The sequence below is a fragment of the Homo sapiens genome, chromosome 2 (genome assembly GCF_000001405.40).
Source record: "Homo sapiens chromosome 2, GRCh38.p14 Primary Assembly".
NCBI classification, from domain to species: Eukaryota; Metazoa; Chordata; class Mammalia; order Primates; family Hominidae; genus Homo; species Homo sapiens.
In genome coordinates, this window is record NC_000002.12 from 118876648 (window position 1) to 118884500 (window position 7853).

A 7853-nucleotide genomic window follows, 5' to 3' on the forward strand; every position below is an offset into this window, starting at 1 on the left:
AGCAGACCCTGAGGTGGCTCCTGGGATTCCCACCTCCTGGGACCCACGCACTGTGTAATTCCCTCCCCTGTGGGTAAGCTGGTGTTTGGAACTCACTTCTAGGGAAAAGAAAAACAGGAGCCTTGGGGTTTAACTTTGATGTTCATCTGTATGAATCATCTCATTCTGGAGTCCTGGAGCAATCATATTAGAGTCTGATTGAAAGCTATACACCCTCTCCCAACACAAACGCACATTATGCACAGTGAATTTGCAACTACTTTCAAGAGGTTCATGAGCCCTTTCCTAAAGCCCCATCTTGGAGACCCTTAATTTATGGTCTCCAAGTAAAGGCCCCATTTCCTGAATGGTTAATATTTCTTTTAAACAGAGTTTACCATCCACTAGGTGTGACTGTGGGCACTGGTAAGAGCTGGTAAGAGCTGTAACGGGGTAAGAGCTGGAATGGGGTTTGTAAACCATGAAGTTATCTACAAAGGCTTGGTGATGTTACTTGGATTAACCAGCCCTTGGGTTGACTTTTCGGTTGACTGGTAGGAGCTGGAAAGGTGTTCGAATCCAGCCCATCTGGCTCTAGACTGCCTCCCTGTTTTATAAGAAAATCATAGAGGTGTTTGCTGTTGTTTCTACTTGTTCTGCTTTGTTTTATGTATATTCTATAGAGACTGAAATGCACAGATTTTAAGCGTACATTTTGAGGAGTTTTGACAAATGTATACTCCTGTGTGATTCCCACCCAAATCAAGATATTCAACATCTCCATCTTCCCAGAAAGTCCCACAGGCTCCTCTCACTCACTCCCTTCCTGCTCCCCATCATGCTAAGGTGGCCACCATTTTGAATGCTGTTTCCATCGATTCCTTTTGCTGCTTCTTGACCATCACATAAGTGGACTCATAAATACAGTCAACCCTCTCTGTCCATGGGTTCCACATTCATGGAGTCAACCAACTGTGGATCAAAAATATTTGAAGAAGAAAACAATAAAAAATAACAATACAGCAATAAAAACTATATAAATAAAAATACATAATAATTATTTGCATAGCATTTATATTGTTTTAGGTATTATACATAATCTAGAGATGATTTAAAGCACACGGGAGGATGTGCGTAGGTTATATGCAAATACTATGCCATTTTACATAAGGGACTTGAGCATTCATGGAGTTTAGCGTCCACTGGGATCCTGGAACCAATTCCCCCAGGATGCCAAGGGATAACTGAACATACACTTTTGCATCTGGCTTCTTTCACTCAGCATAATTTCTGTAAGATTCATCCATGTGGTTGTACATATTTGGAAATTTGTCCCCTTTAATTACTGAATAGAAATTTATCGTATGAATGTACTATAGTTTGTTTATTCATTCTCCTTTGACTGACACAAGGACATCTCTAATTTGGTGGTATGATGAATAAAGCTGCTACAAATATTTTGAAGTCTTTTGTGGGCATATATAGATTCATTTCTCTCGGGTAAAGACCTAGGGATGAAACTGCTGAGCCAAAGGATAGGTGTGTGTTTACATTTGTTAGAAACTTTCAGACAGTTTTCTAAAGTGGTTGTGTCATGTTATCTTTCATTTAACCTTCAATATTAGATGTATTTTAAGCTGCCGTAAATATCTTTTGGAAGTAGGTGAGTTTTAAGTGAAGGAATGAATGAATGATGGATGGATGACCCAACAATTCAGCTATCCTCTAACCCAGTATGTGGCCAACACAGAGCCTGTGCTCACTGTCCTCATCCTGCTGGGTTTCTTGAACTCAGGGTGGCTCCATCTGCACAGCAAACCACACCACCAAGGCTGGCCCCTCCTAGCTTTTCAACCCCATTGCCACTGTAGATGCCTTGGCAGGAAATCCAGCCAGGCTCATCCTAAAGAAATCCCATTCCCTTTGCTAGAGCAGGAGCAGGAAGCCCATGCTGTTGGCTATAGAGAGGAGCAGTCAGCTCAGGCACTGCTCTCAGCTCTGTTACCAACCAGGTGTCCAAAGAAGCTGAGTATCCCTCTCTCTGGGTGCCAGCATACTCCTCGTTTGTTTTGGGCTCTCAGAGGTCAACTGTGGGCAGTGACTCATCCAGTGGATTATGAAATGGAAGAGGCTGAGGCTGGCCTCAGGTGCCAGTTCCATCACTCCTTCAGTGAGCCACCCCTCATGCTCCACCCTTCCCTGACAGCTCAGCTGCACCTGGAGCTTTCTGAAATGTCAGACCATGGTTCTCTGTATTGGAAGAAGCAATGATCTCAACACCAAACTCTTCCTGTCCTCATTCTGGGACCTTGATGCCTTGAGAGTTTCCTGTTGCACAATCTGTTTGTCTGTAGAGAAGTGGCATCCAGAGGGTGGTAGGGGAGGAAAAAAAAATGAAGTAATGGGACAGAGCAGACACAGGTAAAGAGGGCCTTAGGTCCTCAGGAAAGGGGAAAGGGAGGGATATGGCCCTTCCCTCCAGGTCCTCATATTTGTTGCCCCTTGTTCTGGAACGGACCCAGAGGCTTGCCTTCAGAGGGTTCTAATTTACTCTGTATTCTGTGTGGTAAAAGCAAGAGGCAGCATGTCCAGTGGACTGTGAGACTGAGCACTCTAAAGCCAGTAGGGTCAAGTCACTGGTAGCCCACTGGCACCTTTGAAAAGCAGAAGAGGGGCTAGGCACAGTGGCTCATACCTTTAATCCCAGCACTTTGGGAGGCCAAGGTAGGTGGATCTCCTGAGGTCAGGAGGTTGAGACGAGCCTGGCCAACATGGTGAAATGCTGTCTCTAATAAAAATACAAAGATTAGCTGGGCGTGGTGGTGGGTGCCTGTAATCCCAGCTATTTGGGAGGATGAGGCAGAAGAATCGCTTGAGCCTGGAAGGCCGTTGTTGCAGTCAGTCAAGATCACACTATTGCACTCCAGCCTGGGCAACAAGAGTGAGACTCCGTCTCAAGGAAAAAAAAAAAGAAAAGAAAAGTAGAAGAGTTGCCATTTATTTGCCTGGGGTGCAGTGCAAGCTGACACTCAGGTACACTCACCCCTTGGTAGGTGCCCCTGAGAAGGACACAATTTGCCAACTGCAAGTGGTGGCCCCAGGTAAGATGCCTCACTCATTGGCAGGCACTCTTGGTGGATCTCCTGAGAAGGAGCCATACAGATTGTCTGCTGGTGTGGGTGATCTGTGCAGACAGCCCCACTACAGTTGTGGACTGGGCCTCGAATGTGTTTCTCTGGCAGTGGTGCATTGACTGGACCCACACAAAGCCTTCCAGCTCATCAGCCTTCTTGCTAACGCAATGTGTGCAAGAAGAATTCAGGATCCCCTGTATTTGGTATGTGTGTGTTGGGTTTACAGTCAAAACCAGACAGAGGAAGTCTCTCTCTGATGTCAAATATCAGATATTTGGAAAACTTTTTCAAAACGCCAATATAACACAATGTTTAAGAGTACAGACTCTAGTAGCAGACTTGTCCATTTAAATCCTGGCACCACCGCTTTCCACTGATGCCAATGGAATATTCTTTAACTTCTTTGAGACTTTATTCCTCTATCTTTACATAAGGATGATGCCTACTTCCTACGGTTAATGTAAAGATCAAATAAGACACTGTGTGTGAAGCACCCATCCCATCATAAGTACTTGATGAACTATGATTAGACAAGATATCTGAATGGCTGTTTCGTCTTTTGACCTGGAAGCTTGGCTAGAACAGTTTTAAACAGTTAAAAATGAAGAGAAATCAGTTAAACAAATGGTGCTTTTAGAAGATGCTGGAAGACAGAGGATGATCTGGATGACCCCTTTACTTGCAAAGGCTTCAGGATGATGTCTGCATGAGCACACTGAGCTGTTTGTCTCTTCAACAGGGTGACTCTCGAGTAATGATGCTGGCCAGTGCCACCCCTAATTGAGTTTTAATTACAGTACTTCCAGGAACAATGAAGTGAAACCTCTGTTCTCCTTGCATAATTAAATTTAGGTTAGCATATCTGGAGAATTCTTAGCCCACACATGCACCACTTCTCCTTGTCTGAAGAGGGATTTCAAAATTGGACATTGTTGTTTAACGGATGGAGTTAAAGAATGACACATGGGCTTTGCTCCTCTTTAATTACGAATAGTTAATTGTAGAAAGAACCTAATTAGATTGCCCACCAGCGGGAGATGTAGGTGGAGATGAGATGGATCTCTTCATTAGCTATGGTTCCAAGGAAAAGAGGCCAAGGAGGTTTCCAGGCAGGGCAGTCATAATTTTGAGAGACACTGCGGTCCGTGGAAGGGGACTGACTTTGTGAACCTGCAGGCGCTTTGGAGCACCTACATGCTGAGCACCTAAGTTCCAAGCACCATGCTTGTCTCTGAAAGCAGCCCAAGGAAAGGAAAAGACATGGTCCCTTTCCTTGAGATGCCATTAGCTTGTTCAAAAAAACAAAATTAGCATGCTGGAAGCAGAGAAAAAGGAGACCTTCCTCAAAACCTAAACCATGAGCTACTGATGACAGGTTCTAACTGGCGTCCAAGAAAGCAGCTCACTGGAAACTGCAATGGCTTGCAGAATGCTGTGTGGAACCCAAGTCCAAAATCAGTCTCTATCGTTATAAGTGCCGAAGGCTTGACTGGTTAAGTAGCCTAGTGATTCTCAACTGAGGGCGATTTTGTGTCTTGCCTCTCCTGCATAGGACTTTGGCAACATCTGGAGACATTTTTGGTTGCCCTAACTAAGCGGGTTGTTACAGGCATCTCGTAAGTAGAGGCCAGAGATGCTGCTAAACATCATGCAATGCACAGGATGGCCTCACCCCACCCCCAACAAAGAAATATCCAGCCCCAAATGTTCAGAGTACTGAGGCTGAGAAACCCTGGAGTAACCTGTTCTGGATCCAGGGCAGCAAGCGTGGCAGAGAAGTCTCTCGTGCCATGTCAAAGTGTGGCCTGAGACAGACACGTGCTTCCAATCAGCCTCCAGGAGCAGCCACCATCAGGTCACCTGTAGAGAAGGTCCCAGCCTGTGTTTCTTTTGTAAATGGCCGCAGGGTAGCTGCTCAACAGGTTGATCAGCAGTTGGCGAGGGAGTGTGTTCTATAGCTTGGCCACCAGGTGGAGATCGTGGGCTGTTTTTTTGCCATGGAATAGGTGCACCTGAGCTGGACCGGCCTACCCAGAGAGAGGCGTTTGCTCCTGGTTGCTTTCTCTAAGCCTCTGGTAGCCATCAGGAAGAGGGACTTTGAGGAGACAGAGGCATGAACTGGAGAGAGTGCTCAATATCCTCTTCTTGCTTAGCAATCCCTGGGCGTTTACAGCTCTGATCCTCCTTTCCAAACATTGAGATTTGCACCCTGGAACTTTTCTGTTAGCAGTGTCTATTCTGAAGGGGTATTTTGCTCCACTGTTATAAATGTGCCCTGTTGTTTCTGTCTGGAAGACAGACTGGGGAATATGGATAGGGATTGGGGAGGTGGGCAGATGGAAGAGCTACATGGCAGAGGTTGGCGCATCCCATCCCTCAGGTCACGATGTATGCCTGATGCTCTGCACACATGACCTCATTTTACCTCTTGGTGGACCATTTTAGATAGAGGCTTAACAACAAGCCAAAGTTGCACATTAAAGCCAAGTCCAGTCCTCCCCACGTCCCCACAGAGCCTCTTCTTCGACATCAGTGTAGGAGTTTCCTCATCTGTAAAGTCATGGGACTGGACTCAGGCTGGTTGCCTTCAGGGAACCATGTAATTTATCACCTGAGCAGGACACTTGGGAGAGTGGGAGGGAGCACTAACAGGACAGTGGTTGGGACAGCAGGTGCAAACCTGGACACGAGGTCAGCCTGGCTAAGTGACCCTTCCTGTCTAATACCCTCAGCTTCTGAGACCCAAGCGGGACTGTTTTCAGCTTCCATGACATTCATGAACATCATCCGGTGTAGCCATAAGGGAAGACCTGGGGGTAGAAAGAGAGTGAGAAAACTTGAAAGGCTGAGACTTTGGGGGCAATGCCTAGGACCAAAGGGGCACACTACCTCAATAGTTGTGTTCCAGGTTATGAGTGTGTCACTTATCACTTTATTGCCTCACTTCTCCCAACCCATACTTCATTGCATTGCTTGTGATACTGGAGGTGAATCTTGCCAACACGTCTCTTTTGCAACTGGCACGATGCTCAGCTTTGCCAGTAGAGGGTGGTAGAGGCACACTGCAGGGGGAAGGGCTTCTCTGCTGGTGTCTCTGTGCTCTGATTCCTTCTTGCTCCCGCGGGGTTCGGGACACCCAGTTGCAGCCTCCCTCAAGGACTTGCAGTGGCATCCCCTGTGTGCAGCTTTCTAGCGAGTTCTGCTGGCACCTCGCCCAGCTTCCAGTGAGTTCAAAAGCACCCCTTGAGGGCTTCGCCGTCCCACCAGTCCCCCAGCCGATTTTTCAGAAAGTTCAGCAGCGTTTCCTCCAGGCAGCTTCCCGGAAAGGGTTGCTGTCACCCCCGGGGGCAGTTTCCTGTTGGACAGTCTCCACCTGTCACCTGGGCAAACTTCATTCTCCAGTGGGGACAGCCCCATGCTCTCCCGCAAAGTCTGATTCTCATCCTTGGTGGTGAGAGGGGAAGCGGGTGGGGTGTCCCACATTTGTTTTCTCCTCGGGCACTTCGCTTAGCCTTTAGTGCCTGCCCCATATATCTGCCACCTCTGTAAAGTGCTCCCTTTACCCTCAGTAGCCAATACCCTGATACTCCCCTGTTATTAGTTAATAATTCTTAACTTTCCCATTTAAAATCCTGTGTGGTTTTCGTCTCTTGTTTGTCTGATAGTTTTCTTTCATTTTTCAACATCTATTTTTGACTTTCTTTTTGTATTTGTCCTGCTTATCGAGGACCTTGTTTGTAGAAATGCATCAAGAAATAAATTCTTTCATGCCACCAAATTCAGGAGACTCGAGTGAGTATGCTAAGTGGTTTCAGATAGCTGACCCTGAAAGTGTGCAGAGCTGAGCAATGTGTATGGTTCCCCCAAAGCAACTGTCCCTATGTCTTCAAGTTCCCAGGGTTTAAAACACCATGTTGCTTATGCCACTGGGCAGCAAGAAGTGGGCAAGTCACCTCCCCTCTCTAGGCCTCAGGATCTCCTTTTGTGTCCGGAGTTGGTTCCTTCCAGTGAGTTCTTGGTCTGGCTGACTTGAAGAATGAAGTCGCGGACCTTTATGGCGAGTGTTATAGCTCTTAAAAGTGGTGCAAACCCAAAGACTGAGCAGTAGCAAGATTTATTGTGAAGAAGGAAAGAACTAAGCTTCCACAGCATAGAAGGGGATCCCAGCAGGTTGCTGCTGCTGGCTGGGGTGGCCAGCTTTTATTCCCTTATTTGTCCCTGCCCACCTTCTGATGATTGGTCCATTTTACAGAGTGCTGATTGGTCCATTTTACAATCCTTTAGTTAGACACAGAGCGCTGATTGATGCATATTTGCAGAGTTCTGATTGGTGCATTTACAATCCTTTAGCTTGACACAAAAGTTCTCCAAGTCCCCACTAGACCCAGGAAGTCCAGCTGGCTTCATCTCTCAATCTCCCCTCTAAACAGGACACCCCAACTGCTGTTGGGAATTGGGAGATGACTGCTCTAGCTACTTCCTGCTGGATAGGGGTGAAGAAGGGGCCCTGCAGTTGTAGTGTCCTCCAGAGGGGAACTCTTTAGGCCAGTGTAAGGGCCAGCGGGTCGGTCCAAGGATCCTCACTAGAAATTGTTAGTTGAGCTCATTTGGGGCTCCATTTGTAAGATCATCTGTAGTTTGATGGCCTCAATCCTAGAGGAAACAAATTTTACAAGGAGGTTAAAAATGCAGGGCCCGAAGGTGAGTAATAGTAAGCTGGCTGTCACGGTACCTAGAAAG

The 7853-nt window shown here is 46.7% G+C and overlaps 1 annotated feature.

Moving 5' to 3' along the window:
• Window positions 5118-5177: a silencer, noted in NCBI's record as "silent region_11898". NCBI's record gives its function as "represses an Ori minimal core promoter by ATAC-STARR-seq in GM12878 lymphoblastoid cells {active_cell/tissue: GM12878}" and the evidence as "EXISTENCE:reporter gene assay evidence [ECO:0000049][PMID:35858748]".